General features: G+C 46.1%; 1 protein-coding gene across 3 annotated transcripts in view, besides 3 other annotated features; it reads left to right on the top strand.

Moving 5' to 3' along the window:
- Positions 1-21,576, top strand: part of ZCCHC14 (zinc finger CCHC-type containing 14) — an 86,777-nt gene that overhangs the window by 3,168 nt on the left and 62,033 nt on the right. The window lies entirely within an intron of this gene.
- Positions 17,798-18,755: an enhancer, noted in NCBI's record as "H3K4me1 hESC enhancer chr16:87504708-87505665 (GRCh37/hg19 assembly coordinates)". NCBI's record gives its function as "activates a minimal SCP1, AML or CMV promoter by ChIP-STARR-seq in primed H9 embryonic stem cells {active_cell/tissue: H9 hESC(primed)}" and the evidence as "EXISTENCE:reporter gene assay evidence [ECO:0000049][PMID:30033119]".
- Positions 19,441-20,025: an enhancer, noted in NCBI's record as "H3K27ac-H3K4me1 hESC enhancer chr16:87503438-87504022 (GRCh37/hg19 assembly coordinates)". NCBI's record gives its function as "activates a minimal SCP1, AML or CMV promoter by ChIP-STARR-seq in naive H9 embryonic stem cells {active_cell/tissue: H9 hESC(naive)}" and the evidence as "EXISTENCE:reporter gene assay evidence [ECO:0000049][PMID:30033119]".
- Positions 20,026-20,611: an enhancer, noted in NCBI's record as "H3K27ac-H3K4me1 hESC enhancer chr16:87502852-87503437 (GRCh37/hg19 assembly coordinates)". NCBI's record gives its function as "activates a minimal SCP1, AML or CMV promoter by ChIP-STARR-seq in primed H9 embryonic stem cells {active_cell/tissue: H9 hESC(primed)}" and the evidence as "EXISTENCE:reporter gene assay evidence [ECO:0000049][PMID:30033119]".

Here is a 21,576-nt window from a genome sequence, read left to right as displayed (position 1 = left end):
GCACGGGTGCCTCACTTTATGCAGACAGTGGTGATTATTATTTTGATTGGGCAGTGAGCTAAATCTAGAACAAAAATGTCTTTTATAGGAGAGCCTTTCTGTGAAGCAGAAATCCCTTTGATGAGATGAAGGGGCTAATCTATTCCTCTCTGCTCACCCCTGCACCTCCCCCGCTACACCCCAGTCCCAAGGCCATGGGCGCTGAATTTACCAGCCGTGCAACCTTGGCCAGGATCCTTCTGCCCCTCAGTGTTGTCCCTGTTGCAGTGGAGGGGATGTAACCTACCTCACAGGCTTGTGTTGAGGATTACATAGGTAACATACATGAGCTTCCAGCAGAGGTGCAGTAAATGCTGCTTTCTCCTCTATGGCCTCTCCGGCTTTTAACATTCCTTTTTATAGAGGTTTGCTAACTTAAAGCAAGGCATGTTTTATAGATTGAATTATTTACATCTTGGCTATGAGCGTTTATGTGTTCTAAATTGGTTTTTGAGTAGTTACTTGGAGCTGACAATTTTTTTGTTTCATCTTTGGAAAACTGGAAGATTCTGTGACCCTTAATGAGAGGATTATTATAAGGAGTAACCTTGGGCTGTCATTTCCGTATTTCAAAACAACCGTGGTTTCTAGTTTTCCCTACATCCCTAGTGTCACTGCTAAGCTAATTTCAGCCCCATTCATTTAACTTTCGTTTCTGTTGCTGCTTCAAAGCTAAGGCTGACGTTGATGAACCCTTTATTGCTTGGAGCATGCAACTCAGATGAAATCTAGCATTTAAGTATTTTGCTTTCTTAGTTTCTAAATCTAACGTTTGGTGTATTCCTGAAAAAGCAGCCCCGTTAAAGCTGTCTGCATTCTTTTGTAAGCTGTTGTATTTTATTTTGAACTCTTTGAGCTTAGAGACTTTGTATTTTTCTTTTAGAGATACAAATGTCAATGGCTTTTTAAATTCTTTATCCAATTTGAATTTTTATTTCTTGGCCTGGCAAGGTGGCTTACGCCTGTAGTCCCGGAAGTTTGGGAGGTCAAGGTGGGCAGATCGCTTGAGCCCAGGAGTTCAACACCAGCCTGGGCAACACAGCAAAACCCTGTCTCTACAAAAAATACAAAAATTAGCCAGGAGTGGTGGCACACACTTGTAGTCCCTGCTACTTGGGAGGCCGAGGTGGGATGATTACCTGATCCCAGGAGGTAGAGGCTGTAGGTGAGGTATGATCATGCCACTGCATTCCAGCCTGGGTGACAGAGTGAGACTGTGTCTCAAAAAATTTTTTTTAAATTTATTTTAACTGTATTTTCCGAAATAGTCATTATTTGCAATTCCTTGTCCAAATCCTGTGTTTTTATTTAAAAATTCTTATTATTCTGAGGACTTCTAGAGGTGTAAAAGTGGGGGGAGTACAAAGTAGACATACCTGTATTTTACTTTCAGAAAGAAAAATACTTCCAGTAGCCACACTGATGGTAGGCTGAATTAGTTGTACTCTGCCTAGTGGCCGGTAATGCTGCTGCTTGCTGCTCCTGCAGTCGCCTGTTCCAGGGTGCCAACTGTGGGGGATAGTTGGCTTAGACTTTCCAATGCCTATTTTACGTAAATAAAAGACCATAGTTTTGGAAATAGTTAAAATAAATCCTTTGCGGCTTTTTCTTTGTGTCAGTGATAATTAATATGCTGTGGTATGTGCACATGCTTATTCTTGTTTAAAAAATAACAGCTTTATTGAAAGAGAATTCATATACTATATATACTTCACCCTTTTACAGTGAAGTCAGTGGTTTTTAGTATAGTCATATAGCTGTGCAAGCACGACCACTGCCACTGAACGTTTCCATCTCCCCAAAAAGAAACCCAGTGCCTATTAGGAGTCGCTCCCCATTCCCCCTCCCCCCAACCCTTGACCACCCCTTTTTGTCTCTATGGGTGTCTTTTTTGGACGTTGCATATAAGGGGACCACACACCGTGTGGCCCTTTGTGACTGGCTTCCTTCACTCGGTGTCGTGATGTCAGGGCCCGTCCATGCTGTGGGTGTGTCAGCACTTCCTCCTCTTTCGCTGCCGAGTGGCGTTCCCCTGTGTGAAGAGGCCGAGCTGTGCTCACGCATTCTTCAGCGGGTGGACCTTGGAGTTGCTTCACATGCTTGCTTTTGTAGACTTTTGTCTTCATGGTTAATAGGCTCTTTGTCTTCACCCCCGTGCACTGTGCCTAACACTTAGCGCATCCTCTGTGGACCGCTGGCGCACGTGTCGGTGCGGGGCTGTCCTGAGGGCTCCTGTTCCACCTGGTGGATTGCTAGGTGCCGTGTGCAGAGCTGTGTAGGTGTGGCCTCAGCCAGCCTGGGGAGCTGCAGCTGGAGGTGGCAGGGAACTCTGTGCTGTCAGTACAGAGCCTCCGGGCTGGTGCATTTGGTCAGCGACAGGTATGGGGGAGCAGGGCCTGGTGGGCAGGGGCGGGGCCCCGCCTGAGCTGCAGCTGTGAGGGCCCTGCCGTTTGTGTTTCAGCATCCTCAGGGTATGGATAATGAACTGCTTCATGGGGCTGATTTTTTTAAGGGGGTACTAAAAAAAATAACGTTTTTAAAGTTTTTGGTGCAGGAGTGTGGTGGGGTGGTGGTCTTCTTTAGGGGTAGGTTCTGTGGAACAGTTCTGGAACTCTCTGTGGCTTGCATTGTGAGTGCCTGAGGATAAGCACTGTGGAAACTTCAGATAGACACAAATACCGTGAATAAACCTGCTGAAAATGTCTGTCCAAAGATCAGCAACAGCTTTTGCTTCGTTGCTTTTCGTAAGCTGTTGAAAATCATTGCAGTTCAGAGGTGAAACATGGGATAGTTCATCCTCTGGTTATCAGGCAAAGTATAAGTGGTTTCTTTTGGTTTCTCCTTTAGCCCTAAACTCTGGGCCTATTGCAGCCAAGAGTCATCTAGCATTCCATAAGAACGGACTCTCTCTGGAGCAGCTGTTGTCACTGATGGTTAAAGGAATAGCTGTGACCTAAAAGCACTGTTTTGTCTCCATCTTTAACACTTGTTCTCCTGGGCAGCTGGGAACCGCCTGGTCTATGAACTTGTCTGTGAACTAAGTCTTCTGGCTGTCTTTGTATACATTGCTTTTTTTGTTGTTGTTGTTACATTACAGGAGATACAGGAGATAATATTCTAACACATAGTGGATCTTTTTTTATTTTTATTTTTATTTTTTGGCCAGCTGCTACAGGTCTAAAACACTGTCCTGTTTCATAGTAAAGTACAGTACATGATACGGGAATTGAGGCATACAGTCATGTGCTGCTTAAGGACACAGATACGTTCTGAGAAAAGCGTCCTCAGCTGATCTTGTTGTGTGAGCACCGCAGAGTGCACTTGCACAGACCTGGGTGGCAGAACCCGCTACACCTCTGGGCCACATTGTAGAGCCTGTTGCTCCTCGGCTGTAAACCTGTACAGCGTGTTACTGTACTGAATACCATAGGCAGTTGTAACCCAGTGGTATTTGTGTATCTAAACACAGAATAGGTACAGTAAAAATGCATTATTAGAATCTTAGAGGATCCCTGGTCCGTGTGGTCTGTCAGTGGTGGAAGCATCCTTATGCAGTGCGTGACCGTGCTGGGATGCAGTTCTGATTGCTTTCTTGGTGGTAGTATTTCTGTTGATGCCATGATGGAGCTGCAGTAGCACTGCCATCTACTGTGTAATGGCTTGGATTATGTGGTACTTTAATTACTGTCCTTTGCCCTCACATTAAATGAAGGCCATTTACTTTGACATGAGCTAGTTCACATTTGCCTCATTAGGTGAACACACATTTGAGTTTTGCTGTTTTCTACTGTGTTCTGGAGCACAGTTGTAGAAACTGGAAATTCTGTGTCATATTTGGGTATGATGAGTAATACGATGGTATCATTTGTTCAAGTGCGAAGATAACTGGAGATAGGCATCTGCGTTAGTCTTGTCACTGCAGGTGAAGCGTACTGTTTACTTAGGCTTTAGTTTACCCATTTTCTCTTTAGTCCTGTAAACTTCATCTACCTTTTGAATTAACATGCTTTTCCAACAAATCTACATGAGTCTTAAAACTTCAGAGTCCAGCTAGTAGAATAGAATAGTAAGAGGTACTCGCGCTGGGGCATCTTTGTTTGTTGAATTGATGACGAAGAAATTTTTGTTATGCTAGGAAAAATTTCTGCTTTAGTATTCTCCCCCGCCCCCCACCTTAGAGGGATTAGATTTTAGAAAAAGATTCTTCTTCTTTTTTTTTTTTTTTTTGGAAAACTGCCCGTTGGAACAGTAGTTATCTTGTTAGTTTAAGTAAGAAGTGTAGCTGCAAGTTACCTAATTAGGGTACATTATTGAAGGGCTTTTGGTTTTGGACTTTAGTCTTAACATACGCAGTTTAGAAATTAGTTTTAGCAAGGTAATTTTTTTCTCCAGTCTCTGTAGATGTTTTTATTGTAGAGAGACCTGACACATTGTAGAAACATTTCCTGTCAAAGGTAAAAAGAGATCATCCAGAACTAACAAAATAGGTTAATTCTTAGCAGTTTCTGTTTTGTTCTGGGTTAAAAGACCTGAAGCTACTTAAAGTGAGAAGACAGAAGCAAGACAGAGTATCTTTCAAATAATTGCTCTTCTAGCAGCCGTGTGTCATGTCTGATCAGGGCATGATTAAGCAGGACAGGTCTTCACATGCCGGCCACAAAGCCCTGGACCCAGCCGTTCACCCTTAGAGAGGGGCACTGTGGACCCCGCCCGCCATTCACTACGCAGCTTGCCAGTGGGGCGGGTGCTTTGCAGGCTCACAGAAAAATCATTCGCCCTTGAAATGTCTTATCTGGGCCTGGACACCTCCTTAGTTTCTCTTGTGTTTCCTTTCTGTGTAAGGCTGGTCCCTCACCGCCGGTTTGGTCACACCCCTCTGTTTCCTCAGGGTCACTTGTAGGTCAGCGTTTGAACTTTGTGATTTCTATCTCCCTCCTTCAATCCAATCTTTGACCTCTAGTATTTGCCCACCTGACCCATAAACAGAGAACCATAATGGTTCTCTGATTTGTGTTTTCAACAAAACCCCACCTTTAACACCACTCACCTCTACCAGCCAACAAAACCCCGGCTTTAACACCGCTCGTCTCTACCAGCCCCTCTTCTCTTAGTCGCTTCACCACTGAGGCCTCCCTGAGCAGCTAGCAGAAAAGGCCTTCCATCCCGCTGGCTGGCGCTGGTACCCGCGAATAGGTTGGTGTGTGTCTTTCCAGACATGTTTGTGCACATATATGTTCACATGTTCTTTCAAGACACCATATACACGCTTAGATACACGTAGGATCTTACATACATGCTGTTCTTCATGCTGTAACACAGCCATGCTTCGTGAAGTCACTCCTGCTGTCTCTAGTTCCTCACCTTCAGTTATTCCTCAGCGTCCTGTGACCTGCCTTTTGCCTCGAACCTCTTTGACAAAAACAATTTTTTCGGAAGAGTATTCAGCAATCTCTTCAGTGAAGAAAGGTTTTAAATCGGTAATGTAACCAGAGGTAGGAAATGGAAAAGTGCCAGAGGCTGCTGCATGGAAAGTCCCTTCTCCCACAGATGGCACGGAAGGGCACCCAGGACGTTTTAAGGGTCAGGCAAGGTTCTCCTTTCCCTGGGTGTTGATAACTTTTATTTCACGTGTAAAAAACATGTTTCTTACCCTCTTCCCAGCCATCCAGTTCCCCTCTTTGCAGATAGCACACTTCCTCGTAGAACCTTCCAGAGAAACCATATGTATTTACAAGTAGATACCTGATGTCCCACTGCACACACAGGTGCCTCCTGGTCTTCTCTTGGCAGTCTTTCCAGATGAGGCTTCTCTGTCAGTCCATAAAGAGCTTGTTCAGTGGCACAAATGTGTTATTTAATCAGGCCCTATAGATAACATTTTGTTCCATCGTATTATTACAAACCAGTGCACTGTCATTTACATATTATATACATATCACCTACATGTTACAGACAGCAGATGGGACCTTTCACATTCAGGTAAGTCTACCTGTGGAGTAGAAATCTGGAAGTGGAGTTGGGTCAAATGGTCTGTGCTTTTGTAATTACTTTACCTGTTGCCGAGATCTGCTTTTAGAATTCCCACAGCCACATACAAGGCCTGTTTCCCTAACCTTTAACGAGCCCAGCGAGTTAGCACTTGCTGGTTGCGGCCATACAGTTAGGTGGAGACTTGCCCTGGTGTGGTGTGGTTTTATCTTAGGAGTTGATAAAGGTTGAATATTGTTTCAAGTAAACGATTTCATTGATATTTGGTGAGTTGTTTGTCTCCTTTGCTCATCTCTGTTGAGTTGTTGGTCTTTTCTTTTTTTAATTTTTACTTTATTTGAGACAGAGTCTCACTCTGTCACCCAGGCTGGAGTGCACTGGTGTGATCTCGGTTCACTGCAACCTTTGCCTCCCGGGTTCAAGCAATTCTTCTGCCTCAGCCACCCAAGTAGCTGGGATTACAGGCACGTGCCACCAAGCCTGGCTAATTTTTTTTTTTTTTTTTTTTTTTTTTTTTTTTTTTTTGGTATTTTTAGTAGAGATGGGGTTTCACCATGTTGACCAGGCTGGTCTCAAGCTCCTGACTTCAAGAGATCCACCCACCTCGGCCTCCCAAAGTGCTGGGATTCCAGGTGTGAGCCACTGCGCCTGGCTGGGTTCTTAGTTTTTAGAAACTCCGTAAGTTTCAAGGCATTGTCTTTAGTAGGAATTGCATGTATTTGTTTTCTGGGTTTTTAATCTTGTCTTCTGACTTTGCCATGCAGTTGTTTTCTTTTCTTTTTTTTTAAATGCTATATTTATCAGTCCTTTTTGGTATGGCTTCTGGGTTTTGTGTCATAATGCATAATGTATAATGCGTTTCTCATCATACATATTATACATATGCATGTATTGTGCATACATAATACACATGACGCCCCGTACATTCTGAAGACAGTCCCCTGCAGTGTCGCCTGGTATGGAACTTGTGTCATTCTCTTTTTATATCAAACGGATCCATCTGGAATTGATTTGGTATAAGGTACAAAGTTAGTTTTATATTTTCCAGATGACAGCCCATTTGTCCCAGTGCCATCTGTTAAATAGTCTCTGCTCTCCCTCCCAGATCTGAGCTGTCTCTCGTTTACTCCCACATCTATTTGGGTTCACTTCTGGACCCTGCGTTCTGCTTCATGGATGTCTCCATCCATATGACCTCATGTTGGCCAGGTTCATTGGATACTCTTGGTTTTGTTTCTTACCTCTCGTTCGTTTTTGTGGGTTTCCTACACAGAGGAATCCCCAGGAAGGGTTTTTTTGGGGGATTTTGTTTGGGATAAATATGGCTGTGAGGCGCCTGCCCCGGATGGTGGCTTCTGCAGCCTGGGTGTGCCGGGCCGGCTGGGATCTCGCTGCCTTCGCCAGTTCTGGCACTGCTGGTTTTCCTCTTCTCTGGACATTTGTTTTCAGTTTTTCCTCTGCTTTCCTGCACTTTTGATGATGTTATTCCTCAGACTTCTCTCCTTTTTCTTCTTTGTTTTTGCTTTATAATTCGTGACCTTTTCAGCTGTGGTTTTGCCAGTCACACTGATGAGTCCAAAAAACCTAAAGGCTCAACCAGACCTCCAGCTCCCAGTGAAGGTTCCCAGTAGCTCAGTGTGGCAAAGGCAGGTTTCTGTCTTCCAACCTGCCATGGTTCCCATGTTTCCCCCAAAGTTTGCGTCTTAGAAACTTAATCCCCAGTGCGGCAGTGTTGGGACATGGGTAGGTCGGGAGGGCTCTGCCACTGCCATTACAATGAGGTAATATCCTTGTCACCGGAGAGTGGTTTTTGTGAAGGCCGGTGTGGGGCTCCTCTTGCTGGCTTGCTCTCTGGCTCTCTCGCCCTTTCCCCTTCTGCCTTCCACCATGGGATGTCCTAGCAGGAAGGCCCTAAGCAGATACAGGCTGTTGCTGTTGGACTTTGCAGCCTCCAGAACTGTAAGAAATACATTTCTTTTCTTTATAAATTACCTACTCTGTGGTATTCTGTTACAGGAACACAAAACAGACCAAGACACCAACCCTGACCTGCTCTGTCCTTCCCTTCTAATCCCTTCCAGCCAGAGGCCCAGGCCTGTCATAGAGATGCCCTTTTTTATCCCCTCCAGCTGGTTTATGACCAAGTCCTAAATATCTTTAGATTTGTCTCCAGTGACACCGTTACAGCCCCGGTTCAGTGTTCCCTCAGGGTCTCCCTTTCTTTCCCCCTGTACTTTCCTTTCTTCCTCTCCTTCCTTTCCCCTCCCGCTTACCCTTCCCCCCCCCCACCCCCCCCCCCCCCCGTTTCTCTCCCTGCCACACTTGCCATGGTGCTCACATACATGGCACACTTCTCTGGACGCAGGCTTAGATTTGAGGCAGTATGCCAGGGAAGCAGGATGGAGATTAGAATAGTCTTCAGGAAACCAGCATGGCCCCAGCCTAGCCTAACTCCACTTTGCTTCTGATTAGAAATCTGTGTTAGAATGCAAGTCAGTTGATGTCATTGTTTAAAGTCTGCAAGAAACAACTTCATAGCTGCTCCATTTTATTTTCTAATTAAATAGTTCAGAAGCATTGGTACCTTAACTCTTTTTAGAAATAACACTGATGTGCCCAACTCTGACCTTGACCTAGGTCTAGCCTCATTAACATTCCAGTCTCCTGGCCTGGGTCTGCCCGCTGTAACCCTTTTTGGTCTCCCTGGCCTGGGTCTGCCTCCATAACCCCCTCTGGTGTCACTGGCCCCCTCTTAGCCTCTGACATCAGTTCCCTTGTGTCATTGGAATGGTCCTCGTCAAATGCATGCTGCAGGAGCTTCATTTCTGGCTTACGGGTCTTGGCATGATGTGCCATGGCCTTTGTGATCTGTCCCCTGCCTGTCCGTACACACCTCTCTCTGTAGGCGCAGTTCCTCCTACTCACTGTGCTTTCTCTCTCCTGTGCCCTTGGAGAGGCTGTTCTCTTAGACTGGACACCGGTTACCTGTGATACCCCTATACGCATTATTGGTTCATAGATACCAGTCATTTTGTTGTTGCATCCTTATCCTAGACCTTATGTGCTGTGTTCTGTTTCTGCCCAAGACTTTGACTTTGGCAGAGACTGACTTTTTAAATCACTAGAGCCTAGCAGTTCCTACCACCTACTAGGGGCTCACCTGCGGAGCATCCGTTAAACCCAGGGGCAGGAGGTGTTGGGTGGATGAAAAGCCGCCGTAGTACAAGTGCTTTTTCCCTTTGGCTTTTTCTTTTCAGTGGCCACAGTAGTCACTCCTGTAACCAACTCATACTTTTTATCTTTTTAATTTTTGCCTTTATCCAATGACTACCTCTCATATATTATGTAGCTGGAGATTCTAGTGAAGTTTAACTTGAATTTTAACATCTGTATTCTACTTTCTCATTTTTATTTATTTATTTTTTTTGAGACAGTGTCTCGCTCTGTCGCCCAGGCTGGAGTGCAGTGGCGCAATCTCGGCTCACTGCAAGCTCCGCCTCCCGGGTTCACGCCATTCTCCTGCCTCAGCCTCCTGAGTAGCTGGAACTACAAGCACCCACCACCATGCCAGGCTAATTTTTTGTATTTTTAGTAGAGACGGAGTTTCACCGTGTTAGCCAGGATGGTCTCCATCTCCTGACCTTGTGATCCGCCTGCCTCAGCCTCCCAAAGCGCTGGGATTACAGGTGTGAGCCACTGCGCCTGGCCCTACTTTCTTATTTTTAACTTTATATTTTTCAAAAGCTGGCATGCAAGGCCAGGTGCACTGGCTCACACCTGTAACCCCAGCACTTTGGGAGACCAAGGCAGGTGGATCACTTGAGGCCAGGAGTTCAAGACCAGCCTGGCAACATGGCGAAACCCCATCTCTATTTAAAAAAAAAAAGAAAAAGAAGAAGAAAAAACTGGCATACAAAAGCTTTCATTGGGAAGAACTCTCTAACACGAGAGTTGGGCTTTAGGTTACCTGGGTTGCACTCATACAAGGTTGTGAATGCGTCAGCTGAGAGCTCGGAAGAAGCCGCGTGGCATCATGATGCTTTGGTGGCCTTGTCTCCTGTGGAGCCTGTGGAGGCATGTATGTGGATGAGTTCATTTCCATGGAGTAACATTTTTAGTTCTGCAAGTAAGTTTGTCTGGATTATATTTCTTTAATGCTTTTAAAACTTTAAATCATGGTAAGCCTCGATGTTTTAGTTTGCTACATAATGTCAATAAATTGAAAAACCGTTACTCATTCTAATTAAGGTTTCATTTGTATTTCTTTTATACTTTCAACAGTGACATCAGATTAACTCTTTAGAAGGGAGCATTATGGCATCATTTGTCTAATTATTTGGGACATTTGCATAAAAGCATCAATAGAATTACCAGAAAGAAATTATATCCTTAGGTTTCTTTTTTTTTTTTTTTGAGACGTAGTCTTGCGTTGTCACCCAGGCTGGAGTGCAATGGTGCGATCTCAGCTCACTGCAAACCTCTGTCTCCCGGGTTCAAGCGACTCTCCTGCCTCAGCCTCCTGAGTAACTGGGATTACAGGCACCCGCCACCACACCCGGCTAATTTTTGTATTTTTAGTAGAGACAGGGTTTCACTATGTTGGTCAGGTTGTCTTGAACTCCTGACCTCAGGTGATCTGCCCGCCTCAGCCTCCCACGGTGCTGGGATTCCAGGTGTGAGCCACCACGCCCAGCCTATCCTTAGGTTTCTTAATGACTCTAATTAAAACATGTATATATAGGAACTAGTGCTAGAAGGATTATAGTCTAGACTTGAAAAAAGATTAAACTGTTTGAAATAGGAAGAGATTTAGTGTATGGGGAAGAGGAACAACCCTCACCCCTACTCTGTTTTGGGCATTTTAATAAAATTTAGAAGCTTGAGCATAATGCTAACAACCTAGTTATAGTAAAATTAGTAAAATTGGCCGGGTGCGGTGGCTCACGCCTGTAATCCTAGCACTTTGGGAGGCCGAGGCGGGCGGATCACAAGGTCAGGAATTTGAGTCCAGCCTGACCAATATGGTAAAACCCCATCTCTACTAAAAATACAAAAATTAGCCGGGCGTGGTGGCGGGCGCCTGTTATCCCAGCTACTCGGGAGGCTGAGGCAGGAGAATTGTTTGAACCTGGGAGGCAGAGGTTGCAGTGAGCCAAGATGGCGCCACTGCACTCCAGCCTGGGCAACAGTGAGACTCCGTCTCAAAAAAAAAAAAAATTAGTAAAATTAATGAGATACTTTGAAAGCACAGAGTATTGAGGTTGTGTGGGAAGCACTGTGTGGTGTGTAAACTCTACCCGGACACAAATAGATACTCACAGAACTTGCACACCACCTCTGGGAGATTCTCCTGACTCCAGGTTCCTGGTAGAGTATCTTTCATACGTGAGAACTCAGGCCATTTTCCAGTCGGTTCCAACCTTCTCTGCACCCCGACTCCCAGGCCTTTTTTCTATTGTTTTCCACCACTGATCAGTTTCGCCTATTCTAAAACTTCATTTAAGCAGAATCATGGAATTCTTGCTGGCTTATTATCTGTTGGCTTCCTTCGTTGCGTGATTTTAGTGGCTGGTCTAGGGATGACACTGTAGATTCTGAACTTTCGACACTGCATTGTGCCACACGTCGTGCAGTGTGTCATTTCTCAAAGCACTTATATGTGTGGGTTGTTTTTTAAATAGGTGGAAGGCTTTTAAACCAGCATACCATTAATAGTGTATTGAGGAAGTTAATTTATCAATGTTATTTTTCCTTTTACAATTGCTAATAAAGATATGAGGTGAGGAGCAGCAGGCTACAGGGAGGAGCGATGCGTGGGGGCGTATCAGTGGTTCTAGGTGCATGCAATGATGGGCAGCGGACTCGGGAGCGATGTGTGGAGGCGTGTGTGTTCCCCAGGTGTGTGCGGTGAGGGGCAGCAGGTTCAGGGGGATGCGGTGGGGGCGTGTCGGTGTTCCCCAGGTGTGTGCGGTGAGGGGCAGCAGACTCGGGAGCGATGCGTGGAGGCGTGTGAGTGTTCCCCAGGTGTGTGCGGTGAGGGGCAGCAGGCTCAGGGGGATGCGGTGGGGGCGTGGCGGTGTTCCCCAGGTGCAGGAGGCTGCTCTGAGGGTGTCGCATGTATTTCATTTAATCCTCATAACAGCTCCATGAGTCAAGTTCTATTTTTGTCCCCATTTTAGCAATAAGAAAACAGACACAGAGGGGTTAAGTATAAATAATTTGACAAAGACGACATTAGTGAGTGGCTATTTTTATTATGTGAAGTTAAAATTGTTTGTGTGTTGACTTCATCATTTAAAGTGAGAGGAAGAACCTGAGGAATATGAAATGAGATGAGGGAGAGAGCCCCAGACTCTGCGGCTGGTAGAAGTAGGGAGTGTGACCTCATCCCCGGCTTCTGCCAGCTCTGCTGATGCCCGGGGCTGCCCCATGTGCGCGGCCGGCCCTGGGCGGGATCCATGGTCTTGGTGACAAAGCTCCTCTCCCTGCCTTCGCCCCAGCGGCTCGTTTTTATTCATTCAGCACAGAGTGTGTAACTGATAGTCCTCAGTACCGCAGTCTGATATTTTGTTGGGGTTCCTTTTTTTCTTTTCATTTAAAGGTAAAACCTACATTTAGTGAAATGCACATATTTTAAGTGTGTCATCTGGTGTTTTCACCACTTCAATTTTTTTTTGGTTTTGTTTTGTTTTTTTTTTTTTTTTTTTTTGAGACTGAGTCTCTCTCTGTCAGGCTAGAGTACAATGTAGCGATCTTGGCTCACTGCAACCTCTGCCTCCTGGGTTCAAGCAATTCTCCCGCCTCAGCCTCCTGAGTAGCTGGGATTACAGGCACGCACCACCATGCCCGGCTAATTTTTGTATTTTTATTAGAGACAAGGTTTCACCATGTTGGTCAGGCTGGTCTCAAACTCCTTACCTTGTGATCTGCCCTCCTCAGCCTTCCAAAGTGCTGGGATTACAGGCACGAGCCACCGCGCCCGGCCACCACTTCAGTTTTGACAGAAGCAGTAAGCCTTGATGCGGGTTTGTGCGGTATGACCGTCAGCCCAGAGAATTCCCTCCCGCCATTTTCCACCTTCTCCCACCCCCCACCCCCAGGCCTTAAAAACTCTTTCTCCCTCTGTTCTGTTTCTTTTCCACCATTGATTAGTTTTGCCATTTCTAAAACTTCATTTAAGCAGATTCATGGAATTCCATTTTATCTGTTGGCTTCCTTTGTTGCATGATTTTAGTGGCTGGTCTAGAGATGACACTGTAGATACTGAACTTTACACAGTCTGCTTGGAGTTAATACCGTACCCCGCCTTGTGCAGTGTAAGAAGCTGGTCACTGTCTTGCAACCAGGTGCCTTCCCGGTCCTTGCTGTGGCAAGTGTACATGTTACATCTGTGCTGTAGACATCACAACATATATAGTATTGTTGTTTGCTTCAGTATGAATGTACCTTTAAAAAAATTACGAGGAAAATATTGTCTTTTATATATACTCACATATTTACCTTTTTTCCCCCAACCCCTAAGTGGAACCAGGTCTATTTACCATTTTGGTGCTTTTCATTCCTTACCGATCCAGTTTGTTACCATATCCTTTCAGTCTGGCAAACTCACTTTAGTATTTTCGGGAGTGTAGGTGTGCTGGCAAGAAAGGCTCTTAGTTTTCTTTTATCAGAACATGTTTTGCTTTCACCCGTGCTATTGAAGTATGTTTGCACTGGACGTGAGGTCCTTTGTTGGCAGCTTTCTTCTACTGGGACTTTGAGAGAAGTCGAGACCCTGTCTCTCCTCCAGGGCTCTGCTGTTGGCTGCTCCCCTGTGCTCACAAGTTGTTTTTCTCCAGCTGGCTTTAAGATGGACTGTCTTTGGTATTTGAGCAGCCTGACTGTGATGTGTCCAAGTGTTTATTGAATTTATCTTATTTGGTGTCCTGAACTTACTAGATCTGTAAATTTATGCCTTCTGCCAGCTGTGGGAAATTTTCAGCCATAATTTCTCCAAAATGTTTTTCTGCCTCAATCTCTCTCTCCTTATGGGACTCCAGCTCTAGGTATGTTAAACTGTGTGATATTGTCCCTGAAGCTTTGTTTGATTGTTTTCCTTTCAGATCTTTTTCTCTCTCTGTTCTTTGGGTTGGATACTTTTTATTGATCCATCTTCAGATTCACTGAGTCTTCTGTTACCTCCAGTCTGCTGTTAAAGCTCGTCCACAGGATTTTTCTTCGTTTAGAAATAGCATTTTTTAGTTCTGGAATTTCCTTTTTTTTTTTTTTTTTTTTTTTAAGACAGAGTCTTGCTCTGCCACCCAGGCTGGAGTACAGTGGCACACTCTCGGCTCACTGCAACCTCCGACTCCTGGGTTCAAGCGATTCTCCTGTTTCAACCTCCCAAGTAGCTGGGATTACAGGCGCCCACCACCACACTCAGGTAATTTTTTTATTTTTTTGTAGAGACAGGGTTTTGCCATGTTGGCCAGGCTAGTCTCGAACTTCTGACCTCAGGTGATCCGCCTGCCTTGGCCTCCCTAAGTGCTGAGATTACAGGCGTGAGCCACTGCACCTGGCCCTGGAATTTCCATTTTTTAAGAAATGTTCTCTTTCTCTCTTGAGACCCGTTTGGCTTGTCCAGCCTAAGTCCCTTTGCCTTTCTGTTCCTGAGCCCCGTTGTAAGGGCTACTGAGTCCTGCCTGTGCTGGCAGCATGGGTGTGTCCTGTGCCTGGTCTCCAGAGCTAACTCTTTCCTCTTTGTACAGGTTATATTTTTGTTTCTTTCCATGTCTAGTAATTGTGGATTGCTTCTTGGATTTTGTGAGTGATCTGTTGTAGAAACTCTGGACTTCGTTCTATCCTCCTGAAGATTGATGATGCTTTGTTTTAGCAGGCAGTCAGTTTGGCTGGACTCAAACTCCAGATACTCTTCCTGTGTTATCAGCAGCTAATATCTCTGCTCAGTTGCTGTAGTGTGACCTTGCTGTCCTGGACCTGCCCCGTGCCTGCCTGTTGCAGGGCTCACACAGAGTTGATGTGCAGAGCGTGCTGTCCCCTCCCAGGGTGCTCTCCCTTCCAGGGTTTCTCCTGTCGCTTTCCAGCTGCGATCATCTACCAGAATTCCCCTCTCTGGTTTTTCAGGTGAGACTGTGGGGCTCTCTGTGAGCTTTAGCTGCCCCCCTTCTCTGAGGAGGACCAGGTTCTGCCCCAGGACAAGAAACCCGTGCAGTGCTCAGCTCGCTCTGGGCACAGGCTCCCTCCAGTTTCTGCTTGTCTTGGTCCTGTTCAGTTTGTTTTTTTATGCTTTGTCCAGAGTTTATAGTTATCTGCAAGAGGATTGGTCCAACGTCTCAGCCATTACTGAAGGTAGAACCACCTGTTTTATATACTCCAGGGGTTGCAGAAATAAATACGAACCATGTGTTCTAGGAAGAATTCACTCTCCCTGAGGAAGGGAGGCTGTGAAGGGGGGTTTTATACTAACTGGAACATGTGCTGTTAAAAGGATGAGGTGCTGTGCGGAGAGAAGGCTAGCATGGCCCAGTGCCTTGAAGTTCATGGGTCCATTTGGAGGATGTCAGTGGAATGGTTGTCTACATGCTCTAGCCCCTGGTGGCGGTCAGCCACGGGAAGGAGAGTCAGGCGTGTGGTGAACTTGCCAGAGAAGCAGGCCTGGGCTAGGCTTCACCTGTAGGTGTGAAGTTCAGTTGGGCAGATACCAGGTGCCTAGGGGATGAGGGTCTGGTCATAGCTGCAGTGGGAGGTAAATCTGAAACTTTTTGGCCTAAATGTCTTCTGTGATCAATCCAGGTGAGCCCTTTCTGGTCTGATCTTTTGTTGCATGGCTGACAGTAAGAGATGGGGACCCTGGCTCTGAAGCAGCGATGCCTTGTTCATAATAGGGTGTCCCAAGAAGACTCCTGGAATAGAGTTTGTGGTGCCTGCAGAAACAAAGCCTGCTAGCCGATTTTACTGACACTTTCTGGACCTTGGATGCACTCTTGTTTTGAACCAGGGGTTTCTCGCTCCTGGCCTCTTCAAGTCCTGTTCTTTCCCATCCTAGATGCCTAAGTGTTCTGAAACCGAACCTATACTGTGGCTGGTATCCCCAAAGCACTGTAAAGCAGCCACTTGAACGTGCTCACTGCTTTGAATGGTCCATCTCAGGGAGCTGAATATTATAGTGGGAACCAAAATGGTCATGATAACGCAGTTTAGTTATTGTGATTAGACATTTAGCCAGCTTCTCTAAGAAAACCCCAGTATTTAAGCATATTCCTGGCCAAATATTCACAATAACAATATTGTGTGTATTATGTACTTAACGTCAAAAGTCCTGAAGATGGGCCGGGCACGGTGGCTCACGCCTGTAATCCCAGCACTTTGGGAGGCCAAGGCAGGTGGATCACCTAAGGTCAGGAGTTTGAGACCAGCCTGGCCAACATGGTGGAACCCTGTCTCTGGTAATAATACAAAAATTAGCTGGGTGTGGTGGCGCCTGCCTGTTATCCCAGCTACTCAGGAGGCTGAGACAGGAGAATCGCTTGAACCCAGGAGGCGGAGGTTGCAGTGAGCTGAGATCGTACCGTTGCACTCCAGCCTGGGGAAAAAGAGCGAAACTCCATCTCCAAAAAAAAAAAAAAGTCCTGTAGATAAAGATAACCTCAGGGAATGTCTCATCTGCCATCCTCTTGGATGTGGCATCAGTGGAGTTAGATTGCATCTATGCCTGCAATGGAGAGGGTGCTGGCTGCAGCCTCTGCCCCTGAAGCTGTTGCAGCTCACTGTTTCTAACATTACGAGTGTCACATCATTTAAATTTTTTCTTACACTGGGTGCAGTGGTTCATGCCTGTAATCCCACTCACCACTTTTGGGAGGCTGAGTTGGGAGGATCTCTTAAGGCCAGTAGTGCAAGACCAGCCTGGGCAACATAGGGAGACCCCCATCTGTACAAAAAATAAAAACAATTAGCCGGGCGCTGTGGTACACGCCTGTAGTCGCAGCTGCTCAGGAGGCTGAGGTGGGAGATGGCACTGAGCTGTGGTTGTGCCACTGCACTCCAGCCTGGGCAACAGAGCGAGCCCCTATCTCAAAGATAAAAAATAAAAAGTGCATTTTTCTTGAGGGGGAAGGAACCATCATGGTGGCCGTATTGCTTTACTTTCTGATGGTGTCGTCTTCAGAGATTGTTGAGATTGGGTTGTTGGTTCCCACGTGGCCATGTCCTGTCAGTGTTGCTTCTGTGTGTTCCCTCGCTGTCACCTGTTGCTCCTAAGTGCTGACTTTGTACCTTTTTCGAGCAGCCTCTGATTGGTTTCTCCCCGACCCGGCCCGCGCCACAGCGGTGCTGCTGGTGGTCTGCTCTGTGGGGCCGTGTTGAGAGAGAAGCTCTGAGGGAGAGGCTTTGCATGCGTGCCTCGGTGCACGGTGCCAGCCTGGATCCCTGTGGCTGTGGAATGGGCGCTTGCTGTTTGCCAGGCTCCATCCTGAGAGCCATGCTTGGTGGACTGGCTACTTCAATCCTTGCACCAACCCTCGGAAGTCAATATGGTGGCTGTCCCCACTTTACAGATGGGGACACAGGCTTGGAAATGCCACATCACTTGTGTCGCACGACTAGTGATGGGGGCGGCCCTCCCGAGGGTCTGACTGTAGGGCCGGCATTTGGCATCACTACAGGAGGTTGACACTTTCACTATTATGTTTACTCCTCCTACTTCAGTTCCACCCCTACCCCCAGCCCAGTTTTATTGACACTTGCACTTGTCTGTGCAAGCATTTTCTCTCCTGTTGCATAAAGTTGTTTTTTTTAGTGGAGGGTAGTAGTTGCTCAGAAGCACTGGAAGACAGCAGTGGTCAGAGCCCGGTCAGCAGTGAAGGTCAGCGCCATTGCCGGCCTCCGACCCTAGTGGTGAGTAGGTCGCTGCTGGACAGGAGGGCAAGGAGGGGCTAGGAAGGCAGAAATGAGTTGTTGCTCATGAGTACAAGCAAGATGCTGGTGTTCTCTCTGAAGTCAATACATCCGTTAAGATGCCCTTTGAACCCTGTTTTATGGGATTACAGGACTAGGAAGTATGTCTTTAGCCTCCCTAGGGCTCTCGACTTTAGACTCCCTCTGTTTCTACAGGCAGTGTCTGGAACAGGGATTCTGGGTGTGTTGGAGGCTGACTGTAGGGAAGCCCTACCCCAGAGGTCCCATGTGGTTGGCCCCTGGTGGGATGTCTTGGCACCTGGAGGCCTGGAAGCCCCCGCGGGTGGGCAGTTGGGGCCGGTGTTCCTAGAGGAGGCCGTGCTGCCCTGTGGCTATTTGTGAAAGAGATTTGCATCTGGTCACTCTGGGAGCTGGTCTAGTTAAGTACTGGGTTCCCTTTGCTGAGATTTTAAGCAGTAATCTTTTTTCTCTCTTTCTCTTTTTGATGAGTAGAGCTCTAGGTTAAGAAATATTAAAAGGAATGTTTTTACATGGAAAATGTTTTTTTGGTTAGCGTTGGCTTTCACTTGGTCTAAGTCAGCAAATAGCTTTCACTCTTAAACTGTCTGTCTTCTTGTTCTGGTTTTTAGAGACACGTAATGACTATTTTAGCAAAATGCTTACAAATCTATTTTGTTTTTATGTTTTATGTTTTTTACGTTAACTTAAAAGTATTTAACAGACGTTACTCCTTCCTGTATAGAGGTAGGTTAATTGGAAAACAAATTGAAAACACTATTTTTTCATAGTCATGTTTACTGTATTTTGTTTGTGGGGGTAGACACTTTGAAGTTCATGTTAACCCCTGATGTGCCCGGCCCTCGAGATATGTGTGGAAGGAAAGTGTGGTTATGGTTTTAGAAGCTTGCTTTTTCTATACTTTTCATATCATTCACATCTTGTAGGGAGGTATTTATATTTAGACTTAATATCTGTAACTTTTTTAAATTCTAGAAGTAGTGATTGTTCCTCACAGAAAAATTGGAAAACAGAAAAATAAAATAAAAATTACCCAGAGATAAATGCTAGTAATATTTCGGTGTACCTTTGTCTTTTCTCAGTGCCTGTTTGCACACAACTGATGTACGTTCTGCCCATTTTCACATTATCTGTGAGCATCCTGCATGCCTTTTAAGACTGCATAATATTCAGTCATCTGGACATACACATTTAGCGACCTATTTCAATAGTAATCTGTTGCTGGGATGTTTATGTTGTTTGTTTTTCTTTTTGCTCAAGCTGAGATAAATCTCCTTACACACAAACCTTTGACTACATCGCTGATTGACTGTATCCTAACAGCAGACTCCTCCCAGTGGGATTAGTGGGTGAAAAGCTACAGATGGGAAAAAAGCTCATCACATCCTGCCTCCTTGCTGTCCAGACAGTGGCCCCAGGTTACACTCAGCTGAGGACGAGGCCACCCCCTGCAGCTTTATGAGCATTTGACTCCTGAGAACATTTTAACTGTAGTCCAAGTAATTAAATAATTATTCAAGCTGTCATGTGCTTGTTTTCATTATTTATTTATTTATTTATTTATTTGAGTTGGGGTGTCGTGCTGTCTCCCAGGTTGGAGTGCGGTGATGCAATCATAGCTCATTGCAGCCTCAACTTCCCAGGTTCAAGCGATCCCCCCACCTCAGCCTCCTGAGCAGCTAGGTACAGGCACACACCACCACACTCGGGTAATTTCTAAATTGTGGTAGAGATGTAGTCTCACTATGTTGCCCAGGCTGGTCTTGAACTCCTGACCTCAGGAGTTCCACCTGTCTAAGCCTCCCAAAGTGCTGGGATTACAGGTGTGAACCACTGCTCCTGGCCCCAGGCTGGTTTTGAACTACTGGGCTCAAGCGATCCTCCTGCCTCAGCCCCCCAAAGTGCTGGGATTGCAGGCGTGAGCCACTGTGCCTGGCAAGTGCACTGGTTTTAGAACAGACGATCACATGTCGTGGTAAAGTCTCTACTTGAGAAGATAGGCCCTGGCCCCCAGTGCAGGGAACACGGAGCTGGGGTGGCTGTGGGTGGCTCTGTCCTCATCCCCAGTGCTTCTGGGGGTGTGCTGCCCACAGGGGTGCAGCAGATGCTGTAGACACAGGGAGCCCTGCCTTCCGGGAGGCCCAGTTGCCGGTGCCCCTCCTGGATCCTCCCAGAGCTCCGAGTCTCTGTGACAGCACTGAAGCAATTTAATTGTCCTCCAGCCACACCGCAAGCACCACAATAATAACAGCAACTAACATTTTGAATGCTAACATTTTTCCAGTTCACAGTACTAGAAATGCATTTTACTGAATTCTCACAAAAGCCTTAGGTAGGTGCCATTATTTCCATCCCATAGTGGACGAAACAGGGGCTGCCCTGTGTGGACCCAGCACTGGCCGCCGAGACGGCTCCTGACCGCTGTGCTCCGCTCGCCTCCTTGGATTTAATGTGCACAAATCACAGACCTCTGTAGTTACAGGACCTAAAGTCTGCACTTGATTCTGCTCCCTACTGGCCAGATGACCTTGGGGAAGGCATTTAGGAACTGACATTCAGTTTTTCTTGTTTTTAACATGGAGATAATTTGATCTGTGTACGTCACGTACTGCAGGGATCAGATGGATGATCTCATATGGCTGCATAATGGATACTTGGGAAGAACTGTACAAAAGGTGGTTATAGCCGGGTGCATTGTCTCATGCCTGTGGTCCCAGCTACTCGGGAGGCTGAGGCAGGAGGATGACTTGAGCCTGGCAATTTGAGACCAGCCTGGGCAACATAGACCATGTCTCCAAAAAAACAGACAAAAATGCTAGTACTTTTTGTTCTTTTATTCTCCATGGTCTCTCACAATGTGTCTTGACATCGTAGGCATTCCATTGGCACCTGGCTTTTTAAACTGACCGTATTCTTTTTAAAGATGTCTAGACCTGGCTTTCTCAGCCTGCGTCGTTTGCCAGCTCCCAGGTATTCCACATGCAGACGCAGTACTCAATATTAGGGAAAATAAACTGTATCAGGGAGGGCCTCTCAGCCTTGGCACTCCTGAGGCCTGCGGGCAGGTACTTCCTTGCTCTGGAGCTGTCCTGGGCTCTGCAGGATGTTTAACAGCATCGCTGGTCTCCGTTGGCTGCATGCCACGAGAATCCCCACCCCAGTTCACAGAAAATGTTTTCAGCTGTGGCCAGATGTCCCCTGGGGACAAAATTTCCCCCAGTTGAGAACCACTAGGTTAGGGAATAATAAGACTTTATAAGTTAAGTTAGGAAAAACATCTAACAGTGTGCTAAAAAACGGGGGAAGGGGTTTGAACCTGAGGCAGTAGATGATAAGGAACTGTTTGTAGGTTAAGCCTGGCATGGTGGCATGCGCCTCCTGTAGTCCCAGCTTCTCTGGAGGCTGAAGTGGAGGACCACTTTTTTTTTTTTTGACTATGTAATTAAGGGTATCATTTATTGTAATATAAGAACATATTCTAAAACAGCTGAATGAACATGCACAACACAATGTGATGACACATACTCTCCTGAATTTATGTAATTTTTCCTTAAGATATCTCTTAATGAGCAATATTATTTTTAAAATGTTAAATAAAATCCTTACCATTGGCCA

The sequence above is a fragment of the Homo sapiens genome, chromosome 16, assembly GCF_000001405.40.
Source record: "Homo sapiens chromosome 16, GRCh38.p14 Primary Assembly".
Lineage (NCBI taxonomy): Eukaryota > Metazoa > Chordata > Mammalia > Primates > Hominidae > Homo > Homo sapiens.
Note: the sequence above shows the minus strand (reverse complement) of the source record. Positions and strands in the feature narration are given on the sequence as shown.